At 44.8% G+C, this 18,824-nt stretch overlaps 1 protein-coding gene and 1 long non-coding RNA gene across 6 annotated transcripts in view, besides 1 other annotated feature; one reads left to right on the top strand and one right to left on the bottom strand.

Annotated features, from left to right (window-relative positions):
• Positions 1 to 18,824, top strand: part of MYO5C (myosin VC) — a 103,483-nt gene that overhangs the window by 56,537 nt on the left and 28,122 nt on the right. For all 5 annotated transcript variants that reach the window (XM_047432845.1, XM_017022408.3, XM_011521781.4 and 2 more), the window contains 9 exons: positions 1,622 to 1,786; positions 3,505 to 3,598; positions 6,583 to 6,646; positions 9,955 to 10,135; positions 13,736 to 13,829; positions 14,130 to 14,193; positions 14,287 to 14,367; positions 15,544 to 15,724; positions 18,013 to 18,106. In XM_047432845.1, the coding sequence (XP_047288801.1) occupies positions 1,622 to 1,786; positions 3,505 to 3,598; positions 6,583 to 6,646; positions 9,955 to 10,135; positions 13,736 to 13,829; positions 14,130 to 14,193; positions 14,287 to 14,367; positions 15,544 to 15,724; positions 18,013 to 18,106 (1,018 nt within the window). The remainder of the gene's footprint in view (positions 1 to 1,621; positions 1,787 to 3,504; positions 3,599 to 6,582; positions 6,647 to 9,954; positions 10,136 to 13,735; positions 13,830 to 14,129; positions 14,194 to 14,286; positions 14,368 to 15,543; positions 15,725 to 18,012; positions 18,107 to 18,824) is intronic.
• On the bottom strand, positions 1,942 to 18,108 carry LOC105370820 (uncharacterized). Its single transcript, XR_007064638.1, has 4 exons — positions 17,574 to 18,108; positions 13,710 to 14,059; positions 12,652 to 12,770; positions 1,942 to 3,390 (listed from the first exon to the last, which is right to left on the bottom strand). It is a non-coding gene; the product is annotated as an uncharacterized LOC105370820 (long non-coding RNA).
• Positions 10,072 to 10,246: a silencer, noted in NCBI's record as "fragment chr15:52521219-52521393 (GRCh37/hg19 assembly coordinates)". NCBI's record gives its function as "represses an EF-1alpha promoter that drives an FKBP-Casp9 reporter gene in an ReSE screen in HepG2 liver carcinoma cells {active_cell/tissue: HepG2}" and the evidence as "EXISTENCE:reporter gene assay evidence [ECO:0000049][PMID:32094911]".

Genomic DNA, 18,824 nt, shown 5'->3' with positions numbered 1-18,824 from the left:
TGAAAAGAAACATCCAAGGCCGGGCGTGGTGGCTGACACCTGTAATCCCAGCACTTTGGGAGGCCATGGGGGGCGGATCACCTGAGGTTGGGACTTCGAGACCAGCGTGACCAACATTGCGAAATCCCGTCTCTACTAAAAATACAAAATTAGCCGGGCGTGGTGATGCATGCCTGTAATCCCAGCTACTCTGGAGGCTGAGGCAAGAGAATTGCTTGAACCTGGGAGGCAGAGGTTGCAGTAGGCCAAGATGGCGCCACTGCACTCCAGCCTGGGCAACAAGAGCAAAACTCCATCTCAGAAAAAAACAAAAGAAAAGAAACATCCAGCTGGGTGCGGTGGCTCACGCCTGTAATCCCAGCACTTTGGGAGGCTGAGGCGGGTGGATCACGAGGTCAGGAGATCGAGACCATCCTGGCTAACATGGTGAAACCCCGTCTCTACTAAAAATACAAAAAATTAGCCGGGCGTGGTGGCGGGCGCCTGTAGTCCCAGCTACTCAGGAGGCTGAGGCAGGAGAATGGCATGAACCTGGGAGGCGGAGCTTGCAGTGAGCCGAGATCGCGCCACTGCACTCCAGCCTGGGCAACAGAGAACGAGACTCCATCTCAAAAAACAGGCAAAAAAGAAAAGAAAAGAAAAGAAACATCCATATGCTCTCAGTTGGTGGGGAGGGCTATGGAACACACAGTGTCTAGATCCGTAAAACTCACTCCCAGGCCTGTCTCCACTAATTCTGAGGCTCTCCTAAGGTGAGCTTTAAACTTAGCCTTAAGCTATATCATAGGGGTCCTGAATGAAAGGGTGAGTGGGTGAAGAAATAGACTTGGTGTCTGGTGGGGTTTCCCTCATTGTGCTGTTGTGTAACAAGCCTGCATGCTACACAGCTTGTGCAGAATAGCACTTAAAAATAGCCGCAGCCGGCCAGGAGCAATGCCTGGTGGGAGTCCCAACGCTGCCTGAGCTCTGTCCTAGGTGTGTTAGTTTGCTAGGACTGTCATAGCAAAGTATCACTGACTGGGTGGCTTAAACAACAGAAATTTAGTGTCTTACAGTTTTGGAGGCTGGAGGTCCCATATCAAGGTTTTGGCAGGGTTGGTTTCTTCTGAGGCCTCTCTCCTTAGCTTGTAGATGGCTGCCACCTCCCTCTGTCTTCACATGATCTTCCCTCCATGCCTGTGTCTGTGTCTTAATCCCCTTTTCTTCTAAGGACGCCAATCTTATTGGACTAGGGCTCACCCTGAGGGCTGGTTTTACCTTAATTCCCTCTCTAAAGACCCTGTCTTCAAAACAGCGATATTCCTAAATTCAGGGGTTAGGACTTCAACAAATGAATTTTGGCGGGGGGCACAGTTCATAACACTAGGGTTGTCCTGGTTTGCCAGAATTGGAAACTTCCCACATTAAAATAGCCACCAGTTTGGGAAGATGTGTACCCAGCAAGATCTGCCATACTGTTTCACCACAAAGAAGATGCTAACAAATGTCAGTGCAGTGATAAGTGTGATCAGCATAAAGCAACCTCTCAAATTTGGATGCTGTGTCAAAGGCTATGAGAATTAAATGGAACAGCATCTTTGTTTGGATTAACCTCTAAACATCTGAATTTTCTTTTCTCTAGAACAAAGAAAACCATGGGCTGGTGGAGAAGCTGACTAGCCTGGCTGCTCTTCGAGCTGGGGATGTGGAAAAGATTCAGAAGCTGGAAGCAGAACTAGAAAAAGCAGCCACTCACAGGCGAAATTACGAGGAGAAGGGGAAGAGATACAGGGATGCTGTGGAAGAGGTCAGCTGCGGGCGTGTGAGACGGGATGGAAATATGCGGACTCTCTGTGAAAAAGATGAGCGCTGCCAGCTTTTCCTATGAAGTGGATTTCTGCAGAGCAAATCAGATTTTGCTATCAACTTCCATTACCAAAGGGAGCCTACCTTTTAGGAAAGGCGAGATCAGAGGATTAGAGTCTAGGGGAAGGGAGGAGGTTAATAATGAGAGAAATGCAACATAGGTTTTCTCTTTCTTTCAAGTTTTGCAAAATGATGACAGGCCCAAAGAGCCCTGGCTGGCTGCCTCCCTTTCTTCCAGGATGACCTTGGTCTCCTATCACTTGTCCTTAAGGTCTATGCCCTGGAAATGTCTTCCCCTGAACAGCGATGCAAAGCTAGGGTAGGGTTTTCATCTCTGGTGTAGTGAAAAGAGCAGTCAGCATAAAAACCAGATGCCCTAGATTCAAATCTTGCCTTTGTCTGGCTGGGCAGCCTTGGCTAAAGTCCCTTACCCTCTCTGAATTTTAGTTTCCTCATATAAAAAAATGAGAATAACAAAAAAGGACTGACAGAATTGTTGTGAGAATAAAATCATCAGATGAAATACGTTAGCCAAATGCCTACCATAATGAATTTTAGTTTCCTCCTATATAAAATGAGAATAACAAAAAGAGATTGACAGAATTGTTGTGAGAATAAAATGGTCAGATGAAATAATGTAGCCAAATGCCTATGGTGAGTCCCTGCAAAAGTGTGAGCTAGTGTGTTCTAAGAAGGTGATCTTTATTATCATCCACTCTGCTGCATTTTGTTTTTTTTTTGTTTTTTTAGACGGAGTCTTGCTCTGTCATCCGGGCTGGAGTGCGGTGGCGCAATCTCGGCTCACTGCAACCTCCACCTCCCGGGTTCAAGCAATTCTCCTTCCTCAGCCTCCCGAGTAGCTGGGATTACAGGCATGCGCCATGACGCCCGGCTAATTTTTTGTATTTTTGGTAGAGGTGGGGTTTCACCATGTTGGCCAAGCTGGTCTCGAACTCCTGACCTCCAGTGATCCACCCCCGCTTGGCCTCCCAAAATGCAGGGATTACAGGTGTGAGCCACCGTGCCCAGCCTCTGCTGCATTTTCAAAGTCCTAGCACCCAGGGTTGGTGGCTTGGAGGCCCAGAAGACATCCCTTTGCCCTCCCCATGACCCGGTGCTGGGTGCACCAACACTGCTGCCGTGGGCATCGCCAGCTGCCAGTCACCATCAGTCAGCACCACGGGGCCTGCTGCCAGCCCAGCAGACACTTTACCAGGAGAAGTTGAAATGATAGGAATCCTGCTGTGCTCACACATCCTTCCTGAGTCATAACAGTTGCAAAGTGTGAATCCCCTTTACGCCATCAACTGTGTAATCATAGCATATTCGACATATAAAGTCCCCTGGCTATTGAGAAGCTCGACAAAAGGAAGAAGTATGTCCTTGACATTGAGGAGCCCTTGAATGTGTCCTTTCTCCTTGTTTCAGTCATTGCTGGCCAGGTCGGGAATAGTGTCACCTTTGAAGTCACGTTGAGCTCTTGCATGTGAAACAAATGGCAGCGTCTTACAGTGGCTGGTGCTCGCTGTTATCTATAGACAGGAGCTGAGAAAAAATAAACTAATTTAAGAATATACATCTTTTTGTGAAGAAAGGCAATGGTGACAACTTGAAGTGAGGTTTTCAAAAAAGTTTGTTTTTCCCCCTTCCCTCTGCTAGAAATTGGCAAAGCTTCAGAAGCATAATTCAGAACTGGAAACACAGAAAGAACAAATACAGCTGAAGCTTCAAGAGAAGACTGAAGAGTTAAAAGGTAAAGCTTGGGGGGCACAAATCCAGACATTCACTGATTTAGTCACTCAGTAAACAATACTGGGGTTGACCAGTTTTAGAACCAGGGGTCTCTGGTGTACACTTAGTTTAGTGAGGCAATTTTTGCTCACAAGGAATAGCCATATTTAAGTCGTGGTAACTTTGCCCTACAGATTCGTCTGTTTTATTTCTGTCTTTTGTCAGACAGCACAGCATTTCCTCTCTGTGCCTCAGAACCTCCTGGGCCCTTTGCAAAGTACAGATGGTCGGACCATGAGCCCGGAGCTTTTGCATCAGGAAATGGGTGTGTGTGTGTCTGTGTGTGCGCATTCGTGTGTGGTGGTGTCAGAGGTGGTTCAGACATCCGTAATTTTAGAAAACCTTTACGGTAATCCTGATGTACAGTCAGAGTAATGCTGCAGTCATGTTTGGTGCTCACCAAAGATTTGCAGAAAAAATTCTGATCTGTCGGAGTTACTTAGCCTAAGTGACACCCATGTCCTCTGCTACTGTCCTGCCCTGAATGAAGAAGGGCAGACCCTGGAACCAGTAGGTATCACTTCCTTTAGGGCTGTGGAACAGCTACGCTTAGCCTAGCTCTACACATTTGAGCTTTTCAGCTCAAGTTCAACTTGACAATACTTGTTGTACCCCAGAAAAGGCAACAGGCAACAGAGCCTGGTGATCCCTGACCAGATAGTTTAAATCACCACTCTCAGTGATCTTGCCTAGGGATCTCTTCCTTGAGCTCCAACGTGGGGGCAGCAGGAACACGAGGGTTCAGGCCTGGGGATTCTACACGCACCTCTAGCCCAGCAAATGGTGGATATGATGGGGCCCAGAGGAGTGCAGAGCCCTGGGAGTTCAGGGCGGAGAGTGGGAGGAGCGAATGTTGGTGAAGAGGGAGTAAACAGCCTGACACCAGGGCACTGGGGCAGGAAAGGCTGTGCAGGTGCTGACGAGGAGCAGGCCATGCCCTCCTGTTCTAGGTGCTGCGTGCCCTCCACCCTGTCTCTGTAGGGCTGATGGTGTGGGCACAGAAGCCATGTGAATGTCAGAGATGAACAGGAGCATGTCAGAGGTCCGGGAGTAAACCTTGAACCTGAGTTAGGAAAGGGTTTCCTCATCTCCACCCTTTTTATTACAGCACACTCCTCTTGGGTGGTTGTTTTGGCTTTTTTCCCCCCTAACTTCAAATAGAATTTCCCACAAGGGCATTTAAATTCTCAGGAATATAACCTGAAAATTATGTTTCTGAGACCATGTCATGTTTGGGTGAATAATTTTACATCCTCTTCCAAAAAGTCCATGAAAACTTTCAATGTAATATTTATAAACTGATTATCCTGTGCGCCTCCCCCGACATGGCAAACAGTGTTTTGTGAATAGCACCAACCTTTACCTATGCTTGTGACCTAAGACCCAGGGATGCTATCAAATGCTGTTTCTCCTTTTTGAGATTCTAACTTAACATGGACATAATCCCATTCCTCTTGAGAAGTAAATCACATTCGAGCAGCTTCTTTAGCGCATCTGCAAATGGCCTAAGATGGTAAGCACCAGAATTAAAGCCAATGCTTTTGGTTAATTGAAAATTGAGGTTATATAAAACGTGTTGGCTTCTAAATTAAAGCTTGAGCATTTCCCCCAGTATTTCCTGGCTGCCTTACAACGTTCTGAAGCAGTCATTTTGATTCAGAAACATTTGGCACTATGTTAGACAAACTATTAAACTGTTGGCTAAAAAAAAAAAGTAATTTGGAGAATTGCTATCGACGGTGCACCCCGAGGACTCCTTCTGGGGTGGGGCTCAGAGGTGAGGTAGAGCTCAAGGATGAGATATCAGCTTAGTGCAAATAGGGACATCACCATTTGAGGGGCTGCACTGCCATTCTCCCATTTTGATGGCCCCTGTGGCATATGGGTGTGTTGGGAATGTGGGGTTGTCATAGCCATGGAACGTCCTGCCCTTCGGCCTGCAGACTTTGTGTTTGCGACTCTTGTATTTCAGTGTTAACAGCTGCCTTTTTTGTACTTCCTCTTTCCCAGATAGAGACAGACACTTGATTATTTTCTTGGTTATCACAGATGAGTGGTTCTCAGCTTTGCTGCCACCTCACCCCCCAGACATTTGCCAATGTCTGGAAACAATTTGGGTTGTCACAACTGGAGCAGAGGTGCTACTGGCTTCTAGAGGGTAGAAGCCAGGGTTGCTGCTCAGAATCCTGCAATGCGTGGGACAGCCCCTCTCCACAGCAAAGAATTATCCAGCCCAAAGTAGCAATAGTGCCAAGACCGAGAAACCTTGTCACAAATGGATCATTTTCTTCCCAAAGGGTTTCTATTTATTTATTTATTTTTTTTTTTTTTTAATTTTTTTTTTTTTTTTTTTGAGACGGAGTCTCGCTCTGTCGCCCAGGCTGGAGTGCAGTGGCGGGATCTCGGCTCACTGCAAGCTCCACCTCCCGGGTTCACGCCATTCTCCTGCCTCAGCCTCCCAAGTAGCTGGGACTACAGGCGCCCGCCACTACGCCCGGCTAATTTTTTGTATTTTTAGTAGAGACGGGGTTTCACCGTTTTAGCCGGGATGGTCTTGATCTCCTGACCTCGTGATCCGCCCGCCTCGGCCTCCCAAAGTGCTGGGATTACAGGCGTGAGCCACCGCGCCCGGCCTCTATTTATTTTTAATAATATTCATTGTCTCAAAGCCAATATCTACTTTAATAAATAACAGACCAACAAAAGTACTATAAATGAAACTATTTATTGATAATTCCAATCTGACAAATTTGTGAGAATTATTATTTTGAAACCCCCTCATCTTTATTTCTTGTTTATAAAAAATGAGCTATACTCTCATTGTAAGTCCTGTTAATAATAAACATCACATGATTGTCCTGACATTCTCACTTTCTTAAACATAACATGAAACAATCAAGGCATTGATTTGGCAGACATATCTCAAAAAGCATTCTCTTTTTACAGAAAAAATGGACAACCTCACCAAGCAGCTCTTTGATGATGTACAAAAGGAAGAACGGCAAAGAATGTATGGAATCTAGTTTGCCTTAAAGCTACTTTCTTTCTTCTGTCTGTGCTGTTTTATATTTTCCATCTCAGTTTGCATATAGCAGACACAGATACAAGAAAGTGGGGTGTGACTGTTTTTAGGAAGTGAGATTAGAGATTTATGAGAGCTAAGTTCCACAATGTGTACTGTCAGATACTGAACACATTCTAGACTAGTCCATAAAGCTTCTGCTGGGTGGGTACAGTGGACCACCAGGAATTCTTTTCTTTTCTTTTCTTTTCCTTTCTTTCTTTCTCTTCTTTCTTTCTCTCCTTCCTTCCTTCTCTCCTTCCTTCCTTCTCTCCTTCCTTCCTTCTCTCCTTCCTTCCTTCTCTCCTTCCTTCCTTCTCTCCTTCCTTCTTTCTTTCTTCTTTCTTTCATTTTCTTTCTTTTCCTTCCTTCCTTCCTCCCTTCCTCCCTTCCTCCCTTCCTTCCCTTCCTTTCCTTCCTTTCCTTCCTCTCCTTTTCTTTCTTTTCTCTTTCTTTCTTTTCTTTTTTTTTTACTTTATTGCTAAGACAGTGCAAAATTCAGAGACTACCACCACCTTCAACTTCTACCAAATCCAAGAATTAAGATTCTTGCCTAGGAAATAAACCTCCCTCCTTTCCTTCCCCACCTATTGTCCTTGTTAGTTTGTCTTTTATCCCAAAAGATAAGGTAAGTAATGGACCTCACAGAAATTAAGGCAGGTGCCTGACCTTGTACTGTACCAGCCCACCTTTCCTATCTCAATAGCAAACCCTTTGCTAACCTCCAAGGACTCCAATCTGGGCTTCCCTTCTCTTAAGGAGTCAAAGGTTTTTAGATCTCAAAGTTGGGGTACATGGCAGGGTCCCGGAAAGAGATAGAACATGCTTGGCACATCTCTTTTGGGGGCTAGGAAGCTCAGGGCTGCCTGTGGTGGTAGGATACAAAACTTCCCCATGCAGTGAGCAGGACAGCCTGCGTCTGGGTGAGGAAGCAGGATTCTAAAGAGAGGAGGGAATATCACAGAATCGCTCCAGGAGTTAACAAATATATGAAGTGTTTCATGATCCTCCATCAGTTTTTAAATATGTCTAATTAACTCATTTACCTAGAAAAATATAATTGTCGATGAGTTTTTAATGTGAGGAGAAGAGCTCGGCTCTCGGCATCTGTCCACGTGCAGGGACCACTTGGGAGTGATCATTTCAAGCAGGGGTCTTGGAGAGCCAGGCTGAGGCCAGGTCATTTTGGGCTGTTTGCAATCCTAACTGGGTCAGGGCGAGGCAGGCCAGTGAAGGGATTAAAACTCTTCACCCTCTCTAGGCCCGTGTTCTGCCTCCTCATTAGCACTCATCTGTAGCTTGGTTTAGTCCCTGGTCAGCCAAGGGGGGAATTCCTGGCCCCTGTCAAAATTCTCAGGAGGCTCCAAGAGGCCTGCAGTCTGTGGGCACCCTCCTGACCAGCTCAGGCTGTGGGTCTAAGATTCTTTTTACATAAGACTTCTGGGCCAGGCGTACTGGCTCACACCTGTAATCCCAGCACTTTGGGAGGCCAAGGTGGGCAGATCACCTGAGGTCAGGAGTTTGAGACCAGGCTGGCCAACATGGTGAAACCCCGTATCTACTAAAAATACAAAAATTGGCTGGGCGTGGTGGCAGATGCCTGTAATCCCAGCTACTTGGGAGGCTGAGGCAGGAGAATCACTTGAAACCGGGAGGCGGAGGTTTCAATGAGCTGAGATTGCACCACCGCACTCCTGCCTGGGCGACAGAGTGAGACCCTGTCTCCAAAAAAAAAAAAAAAAAAGGAAGACTTCTGGCTGCCTTTTCCTTTTTCAAAGGCATTTTACTGGTCTCTTGGGAGCACTGCAGTTTTTTTTTAAAAAACCTGGAAACAAAGTTCGTTAATATCTGTAGAAAAAAGAGGTTATGTGCAGTGCTCACACCTGTAATCCCAGCACTTTGGGAGGCCAAGGCGGGCAGATCACCTGAGGTCAGGAGTTTGAGACCAGTCTGGCCAACATGGCAAAACCCCATCTCTACTAAAAATACAAACATTAGCTGGGTGTGGTGTTGGGCACCTTATAATCCCAGCTACTCGGGAGGCTGAGGCAGGAGAATCACTTGAACCCGGGGGGCGGAGGTTGCAGTGAGCTGAGATCATGCCACTGAAGTTCACTCCAGCCTGGGTAAAAGAGCAAAACTCCATCTCAAAAAAAAAAAAATCTATAAAAAAGAAATCAAACAAATTTATTAGGAATGTGGCTCTCTTTCTCAGAGTTTTTCCCTTTGTGCTATAAAAGCAAGTTTTAAAAGGAACTGAAATGACAGCTCAGCAGGTAGAATCATTTAGTAAACTCATAGAGCTCCTGGCACTGCTTCAAGGGCCCCTGTGGGCTGTGTTGGGCTTGTCTAGGTTATGTATCTCTTTTCAATTATTTTCTTAGTTAATCATCAAATTTTTAATTGAGCAACCTTCTAGAGCAGTTGGATTTACATGCACTTTTGGGCACGTGGATTTGCTGCCATTTATTCTAGAATTTTTGAAGGGCTAGACCCCTGGACATAGCAGATAGCTCTATTGTTTAGGATCAAACAAACCTCCAGCAGGATCCTTGGAACGAGGAAGGAGCCAGGACTTAGCAGAGCACGCCAAGGTATTCGCTGAAGGAAACTGGCCCTTCCAGGGGACTGCATGGAACCCGGGGGGTTGGGAATACAGTGCCCCAAAACCCAGTGTGTCTTTTAAGTTCAGCCTCCCTAGCCAGTGTGCCCTGTGCGTGATCACTGTAAAGCCACACCTTTCAAATCAGGAGGTGTAAGAAGTTGTCTTTAACCTAAGGGAAGAGGAAACAGTTTGCTAAAAATAAGGCCATTACCTGCTGGAACTGTCACAGTAGGTTCTAATTAACTTGTCTCCTCTTGTTGTTTTCAAAATGATGTATTCTAATTCAAAGTAAAGACTGTAGAGACAATTCTAAATTATTTTCTTCTTTTTTAGGGGGTGTTGTGGGGAGGGTCTCACTCTGTCACCCAGATTGAAGTGCAGTGGCACGATCTCAGCTCACTGCAGCCTGGACCTCCTGGGCTCAAGCGATTCATCCACCTCAGCCTCCTGGGTAGCTGGGACTACAGGCGTGCTCCACCACACCTGACTAATTTTTGTATTTTTAGTGGGGACGGGGTCTCTCTTGTTGCCCAGGCTAGTCTTGAACTCCTGGGCTCAAGGGATCCGCCTGCCTTGGCCTCCCAAAGTGCTGGGATTACAGGTTTCAGCCACCATGCTCAGCTCTAAATTATTTTCTTCTTTTGCTGCGTAGGCTTCTTGAAAAAAGTTTTGAACTGAAAACACAAGACTATGAGAAGCAGATTCAGTCTTTGAAAGAAGAAATTAAAGCTCTCAAGGATGAGAAGATGCAACTCCAACACCTGGTGGAGGGGGAGCACGTCACTTCTGATGGCTTGAAGGCGGAAGTGGCCCGCCTGAGCAAGCAGGTCAAGGTAGAGCGGCTCTCACGTTCAGCCCCGCCCTCTGGTTACGTCATTTGATTGCAATTCCAAGTTCCCACAGATTAGACAGCTAAAAGCATCTGTGTAAAGGCCACAGGCAACTGGAGCCTGATTCCTTCAGTCCTTCCAACTGTGCACCTCCAGGCTGCCTTTGATTTAGCAATCATTGTATTCCATATTTTAAAAGTCAACTTTCTAACTTTTTTGAAATTACATTTATGTAAAGTTATTTAAATATGTCGATGTAGAGAATACTCCCAAATTAGACTGTAAATTGAGGTGAATCCTTATTATATAATCCATCACTATAAATCTATAAACACCTGCATTAAAGTTAAGTTACCTTATTATCAAAATCTTTCATTTAAACTGTTATTAGAAAATTTACTAAAACAATTATCCAATGCACAGTGTGGTGAATGTAGTTAATAAGAGCATATTGTACATTCAAAATTGCTATGAGTAAATCTTAAATGTTCTCACCACAAAAAATGACAAGTATTTGAGGTGATAACATGTTAATCAGCTTGAATTATTCCACAATATATTCATAAATTATAACATCAATAAAGCTATAAATTTTCAATGGTAGAAATTTTTAAGTAAATTTTTATAAAGCTGAGAAGGAAAAATCACATAGAATTTTTAAAACTGCATAATGATATATAAAAATATTGTTACCTGCCGGGCACGGTGGCTCAGGCCTGTAATCCCAGCACTTTGGGAGGCCAAGGCAGGTGGATCATGAGGTCAGGGGTTCTAGACCAGCCTGACCAACATGGTGAAACCCTGTCTCTACTAAAAATACAAAAATTGGCTGGGCGTGGTGGCAGGTGCCTGTAATCCCAGCTACTCAGGAGGCTGAGGCAGGAGAATTGCTTGAACCTGGGAGGCGGAGGTTGCAGTGAGCCGAGATCGCGCCACTGCACTCCAGCCTGGGTGACAGACCGAGACTCCGTCTCAAAAAAAAAAAAAATTGTTACCTGTATCTATCATTAAAAATATATAAATATTCCTGGGCAATTTAATAAAATGCTCTAGAGAAAAATGAATGAATGGATGAAGTAATGATCCATGCTTGGACAATCAAGGCTTAAGTGAATTGTTTCCCTACCAGAAAAGTTAAACCTGAGTGTACCTACGTTCTTAAATGTAAGACATTTCATCATTAAGTTGGAAAGCTTTTAAGCTTCTACTAAATATGTGAAATACATATTAGTAGAGTATTTGTAGGATTATGGAAATAGTCTCTGTAATTGTCATGAACTAGCCATGCGTGGTTTAGAAGAGCTTTTGGAATTGCATCCGGGTGGCCACTGAATTCCACAACTGAAGTGTCTGTCTTTTCTGGGCCCCGTCCCCTATTGTTTAAAAGTAGGAGGTCAGACCACATGATCAGGAAGGGTCACTTTCATTCCTGTGACTGCTTCACTCTTAGCAGCCACATGAGCCTGATGTCAGTCAGTCTGTGGGAGTCCTGTCATCTGGCTGAGGTCTGAGGTCTGTATCTTAAATGTAGGAACTTGTGAGACTGCGCTTGCAGAGAGGTACCAGTAGGTGTCACTCACTTCCTCTTTGGTAGCTAAGACTGGTTCACTCTCCAATGTGATCCATTAAGATTACTTGGGGCTGGGCACGGTGGCTCAGGCCTGTAATCCCAGCACTTTGGGAGACTGAGGTGGGCGGATCACGAGGTCAGGAGATCAAGACCATCCTAGTTAACACGGTGAAACCCCATCTCTACTAGAAAAAAAAAAAAAAATTAGCCGGGCGAGGTAGCACACACCTGTAGTCCCAGCTACTCGGGAGGCTGAGGCAGGAGGGTCGCTTGAACCTGGGAGGTGGAGGTTGCAGTGAGCCGAGATTGCACCACTGAACTCCAGCCTGGGTGACAGAGTGAGACTCCGTCTCAACAAAAAAAAAAAAAAAAAAATTACTCTGGGTTTTTGTGTTTTGTTTTTTGGGTTTTTTTTGAGACAGAGTTTTGCTCTTGTCACCCAGGCTGGAGTGCAATGGCACCATCTTGGCTCACTGCAACCTGCCTCCCAGGTTCAAGCGATTCTCATGCCTCAGCCTCCCAGGTAGCTGGGATTACAGGCATCTGCCACCACACCTGGCTAATTTTTTTTTGTATTTTTAGTAGAGACAGGGTTTCACCATGTTGGCCAGGCTGGTCCTGAAGTCCTGACCTCAGGTGATCCACCCGCACTAGCCTCCCAAAGTGCTGAGATTACAGGCGTGAGCCACCGTGCCCAGCCTACTCTGGTTTTCAAAGAAAATAACTCATGATCATCAAGTTATATGTGTTATAGTCAGTCTTAAAAGCCTAAGTAAATGCAAATCTGACTTGGAACATTTACTGAAACATTACAAAGAAAAGCATGGCCTTCAGGATTTGGATAGTCCTGAGTCCCCCATAAACCTGGCATGTGACCCTGAACGTGCCAGTCAGCCTTCAGTTAAATGTAGCTGCTGTTTGCTAATTGAGAAAAGATCACTCTACTTACCTCATAGGCCTGTTAGGAGGATTAGGTCTTCTAGGTAAAGTGCTCAGCACATATCAGTTTGATTCTCCTGCTTACTCTCTGTAGAAACAGGGGCTGGAGCCCTTAAATACTCAGGGTAACTGAAAAAATATCAAGGAGAGTTTATTCACCTCTGCTGTCCCTGAAAGTCCTTATATCTCCCTCAGATACAAAGCAAAAGCACAGACCTGTGATTCTTATTCAAGCTGAGCTCACAAGGGAGAATAAAGGCAGAATACTGCCTCTTCCCCACAACCAGAGCTGCCCAGGCCACCTCCTTCCCAACAGCCAGCTAACTCCCAGACCTCCTGGACTCACCAGTCTCTGCCACTGCTCCACATCTAAGCTGAGCTGAAGCCAAAACCCACAGTTATGAAGGTGGCAACTTTGCCCATGTCCTTGCACTCAATATTTTATTATCCATTAAAAGAGAATTTTAGCCCGTGATTTTACCTTTCTCAGTCTTCCCCCTGTCCCACCCCACCCCAAGCTTATAGTAGGTATTTTTTTTTCTTTATGTAACAGGGAAGTTAATTTTTTTTTTTTTCGAGGTGGAGTTTTGCTCTTGTTCCCCAGGCTGGAGTGCAATGGTGCAGTCTCAGCTCACTAAAACCTCTGCCTCCCGGGTTCAAGCGATTCTCCTGCCTCAGCCTCCCAAGTAGCTAGGATTACAGGCGTCTGCCACCATGCCTGGCTAATTTTTGTATTTTTAGTAGAGATGGGATTTTACCATGTTGGTCAGGCTGGTCTCAAACTCCTGAACTCAGGTGATCCACCTGCCTCAGCCTCCCAAAGTGCTGGGATTACAGGTGTGAGCCACCATGCCTGGCCCAGGGAAGTTAATTCTACTGATACAACCCATTAGATCTGGCATTTTGAGTAGTTAAGCATGCTTCAAGGCCAAGCTGTGTAGGCAGTGATGGTTTAACAAGATTTTAGCTAAGAAAGAAACTGCAGTGAGGATGTCTTGCATAGACACGCAACGCTGTAATTGTGTTCCCTTTGTCTTATATAAAGCATAATCGTTGTTTTTTCTTTACCTGATTCCGTCATTGCTGTGATTCAGACAATCTCTGAGTTCGAAAAAGAGATAGAACTACTTCAGGCACAGAAGATAGATGTGGAGAAACATGTGCAGTCACAAAAACGGGAAATGAGAGGTAATAAAAATATGAGTCTCTTAGTCCATGGGTGCAGACTGAATTTATCATAGCTGTGTCGCTGCTAAGGAAACGTGTCCTTTGGTATGAATTTGGTTGGACATATGGTAGATTGCTTAGTTGATAGGTTGAATAGCTAGTTGGTTGAATACCTGGAAGATTGGTTAGTTGGTTGATTGGATAGCTGGTGAGTTATTTAGCTGGAGACTGTGAAGCTAGAAAACTGGGCCCTGGAAAGGGAATGGGAAAAGATAAATCATCCACAAATGTAATATATACAACTCTGCCTTTCCCTTTCAGAAAAGATGTCAGAGATCACCAAACAACTTCTCGAAAGCTATGACATTGAAGATGTAAGAAGCAGGTAATCATTTTTGCATTATCAAACATTTTAAGACATGTAAACATGTAAAACGTGACAGAGATGATAGATTTTCTTATCTTCCTTATTTTGCAGGCTCTCTGTGGAAGATCTGGAACATTTAAATGAGGATGGAGAACTTTGGTTTGCTTATGAAGGACTAAAGAAAGCAACACGGTTAGAAATTCTCCTCAGGGATCTTCTTTATTTTTCAGAGATAATAAATAGACTATTGGAAAGTCCAAAGTTTACCTTACATAGATTGATACACAAATTCCTTATAGTAGAATGACTGAATAACCACTAGAAATATTTCTCTGAGAAGTAAGTAAGTAGCTTATTCATGAAGAGCAATCTCTTTGTGGGATAAAATGCCTAGTAAAAAACCCCATAACCCATACAGTGAAAACTGATTATCAAATAAGTTAGTTAATGTTGCCAGAAATATGTAGATACATTTAAATTTAAGGCATGTGCTGCATTTATTTAAATTAATAAACTTTATTTTTCACAGCAGTTTTAGGTTCACATCAAAGTTGAGCAGAAATACAGAGAGTTCCCATATATCCCTGCCACCACACACACACAACCTCCCCCACTGTCAACTTCCCAAACCACAGTGATGTGTTTACTATGACTGGTGAACCAACACTGACACGCCACTGTCACCTCAAGTCTATAGTTTACATTAGAGTTCACTCTTGGTGTACATTCTGTAGGTTTTGACAAATGTATAATGACTCGTATCCACAACTGTAGTATCATACAGAACATGTTTTGTTTTGTTTTGTTTCTGAGATGGAGTCTCGCTCTGTTACCCAGGCTGGAGTGCAGTGGCAAGATCTTGGCTCACCGCAACCTCCACCTCCAGGTTTCAAGCGATTTGCGTGCCTCAGCCTCCCAAGTAGCTGGAACTACAGGCATGCGCTACCACACCTGGCTAATTTTTGTATTTTTAGTAGAGACGGGATTTCACCATGTTGTCTAGGCTGGTCTCAAACTCCTGACCTCAAGTGATCCGCCCACCTCGGCCTCCCAAAATCCTGGGATTACAGGTGTGAGCCACTGCGTCTGGCCAGTATTTTTTAAACTATTAAGAGTGTAAAAATATAATAACTTCTAAAATTTTCTTCATTGTTAACTACATATTAACCCCCACATAATGCTTCCTAACTAGCTAGAAGATTTTATAATTAGGCATTCCTGATTCTGTAGCCTGTAACCGTGAGTGCATAAGTAAACTTGATGTACTTCGTGCACGGCTCTTGTTGTGGGTCTTCATAACTGCCTCCCAGCAGTCCATAAAACAGAACAAAGGCCATGTGGTTTATTTCTTGACCCCTCCTTTAATAGTGTTTTGGAGAGCCATTTCCAGTCTCAGAAGGATTGCTATGAAAAGGAGATTGAAGCTTTGAACTTCAAAGTGGTGCATCTCAGTCAAGAAATCAACCACCTGCAGAAGTTATTCAGAGAAGAAAATGACATCAATGAAAGCATCCGTCATGAAGTTACCAGGCTAACATCAGAGAACATGGTATGGTCTCAGCCAGGGGCCCCAGTCGTGGCCATCATACTAGAGTTGTTCTTTGTCAGTGGCGTCAAATTCAGTTTCTTGGCAGTAAAAGAGTGGATATAAATTACTTTTTCCAGAAGTGAAATAACTTGGTCTGGTGATTAAACTATAAAATGACTGCAGACCAGAGAGCACTCTGATACAAGAGTGTGTGTGTTCACCACAGGATGGCTGCAGGCGCTGTGATTGTCTGTGTGTGCGCGTAAGTGTGTATGTTTTAAAGCCTGTATATTTAAATCAAGCCCTAACCCCTTGGAAAGTGACCACAAAATTGAAGGGTAGCTCTTGAGACAGGAGTGTGTCAGAAGGCCAGTCCTGCTCATGCCTGAAATCTCACCTTTTTTTTTTTTTTTTTTGAGATGAAGTCTCACTCTGTTGCCCAGGCTGGAGTGCAATGGCATGATCTCAGCTCACTGCAACCTCCGCCTCCCAGGTTCAAGCAATTCTCCTGCCTCAGCCTCCCGAGTAGCTGGGATTACAGGCGCCCACCATCACGGTCAGCTAATTTTGCATTTTTAGTAGAGACAGGGTTTCACTATGTGGGCAAGGCTAGTCTCGAACTCCTGACCTCGTGATCCGCCTGCCTCAGCCTCCCAAAGTGGCATAAGCCACCGTGCCCGGCCTTCAAATCTCACCTTTTCAAGGGCTTCCTCTTCCATGACGTGCATTCCTAGCCACTGCATTTGTCTCATTCTTTCTTCCAACTCATGCCTACTGGCCTGGAGAAATGCTTTAGGAATCTCCTCATTCAAAAAGCCATCTCTGTCTTAACCCCACACTGCTGTGGCCATCACCCATTTCTTTGGGGTCTTAGTCAGACTTACAAAGACCCTCTAGGCATACTTCCTCCGCACACCTCCCATTCACTGCCCACCACCCCATTCTGTCGTGTGTCCCCACCACTGGCTGACTCTGCCTGCACAGAGCTGAGCACTAAGGGTTCCTTTGCACCCTCATCTTACTCAGTGTCTCAGCAGCCTCTGGCGATGCTAATCTTGCCCTCTCTGCCTTGTTCTCTTGGCTTCCAGGACGCCCCGCTCTCCCAGCATTCTTGTCCCGCCTCACTGGCTGCTGCTCCCCTACTTCCTTACTACCCCCTCCTCTCCCTAAACTGAGAGTGTTAGGAAATCTCGGGGCTGTAGCAGCAGTTGAGGACCAGGGGTGGACACAGGGAACGGTAGTGGGGGACCTTTACATCTTTGTTTATTCCTTGGATGAAACTTTAATGAGGAATTTGCAGTGAGACCCAATTGCACATTCAAACAAGTACAGATGCTCCTCAGCTTACCATGGGGCTACGTCCCAATAAACCCATCGTATGCTGGAAGTATTGTATTGTAAGTTGAAAATGCATATAATACACCTGACCTACCAAGCATCGTAGCTTAGCCCAGCCTGCCTTAAACGTGCTCAGAATGCTTACATTAGCCTGTACTTGGGCAAAATCATCTAACACAAAGCCTATTTTTATAATAAAGTGTTGAATGTCTCATGTAACTTATCAAATACTATACTGAAAGTGAAACACAGAATGGTTGAATGGGTACTTGAAGTATGGTTTCTACTAAATGCATATCACTTTCACACCATCACAAACTCGAAAAATAGTAAGTTGAGCCATCGTAAATCAGGGGCTGTCTGTATTCTTCATTTAGACTTCAGAGGCCTGGATCTCAGCCACTCAGTTTTAAAATGAGCATGTTTATAAACTTGGGGAAGGAAAAAAAACCCTGTTTTAACCTAACTGGGGGTGGAGGCGATGGACATGTAAAGAAATATACAGATAGGGACAAAGGATTGAGAAACTTACCGGGTGATTCCAGACCTCCACTAACAGAGCAGTGCATGTCCTTGAATTCAAAAGTAGCAGTGGGACCCTTTGAGATGGCTTTTCCTGTTCCTAGATGAGGAGACGATGGCTCTGGGCTTGGACCAAAGACGCTGGCTGCCATTTCTTCACCTAATTCCTCCCTCAACTCAGCATAGGATTTCTATACATGTACACATCCTTCTCTCCCTGTCGTAGCTGTGTGAGAACTGCTTCCTCTGAGCATACTGGTGTTTCCTGAGACTATATAGGTTTTGAGGTTAAAAAAAAATGTTAATCCAGTCTAATGTCGTGGCTAGCTCTTTTACACAGCTATCTGTTCTGCAGGCTGAACACCAAGATAGTTCAGTTTGCTTCTAAGATTTTAAAGTTCATAGATAAAAGTATTTTATATTCTAATATTTCTAATTCTTCTCTAAAGATGATCCCAGACTTTAAACAGCAAATTTCAGAATTGGAGAAACAGAAGCAAGATCTTGAAATCCGCCTGAATGAACAAGCTGAGAAAATGAAAGGTAACTGAAACCCTCATTAACCTGCTTTTAGAAAACGGTTTCCTGTACCCCGGAAATGACATTGAAATGTCCTTGTACTCAGGGCTTTTAAACTCTGGTTCTCTAGGGGGCTGGGCAGGTAACAAATGTGAGAAGGGGGCTAGTTGAAAGATATGGGAAGGTATGTAGGACATTTAAAGGAGGTGCAGGCTGAGTGCAGTGGCTTACACCTATAATCCCAGCACTTTGGGAAGCGGTGATGGGTGGATCATTTAAGGCCAGGAGTTCGAGTTTGAGACCAGTCTGGGCAATATGATGAAACCTCATCTCTACAAAAAAAATTTTTTTTTTTTTTTTTGAGACTGAGTTTCGCCCTTGCCCAGGCTAGAATGCAATGGTGCGATTTCGGCTCACTGGAGCCTCCGCCTCCCGGGTTCAAGTGATTCTCCTGCCACAGCCTCCTGAGTATATCAAATTACAGGCACCCACCACCACACCCAGCTAATTTTTTTTTTTTTGTATTTTTAGTAGAGATGGGGTTTCGCCATGTTGGCCAGGTTGGTCTTGAGCTCCTGGCCTCAGGTGATCCACCTACCTTGGCTTCCCGATGTTCTGGGATTACAGCCGTGAGCTACTGAACCCAGCCCAAAAATTTTTTTAAAATAAGTCAGGCTTGGCAGTATGCGCCTGTAGTCCCAGCTATGTGGGAGACTGAAGTGGAAGGATTACTTGAGCCCGG

This window comes from Homo sapiens, chromosome 15 (assembly GCF_000001405.40).
Source record: "Homo sapiens chromosome 15, GRCh38.p14 Primary Assembly".
In the NCBI taxonomy this organism is placed as follows: Eukaryota; Metazoa; Chordata; class Mammalia; order Primates; family Hominidae; genus Homo; species Homo sapiens.
This window is presented reverse-complemented; position numbering and strand designations above follow the sequence as displayed.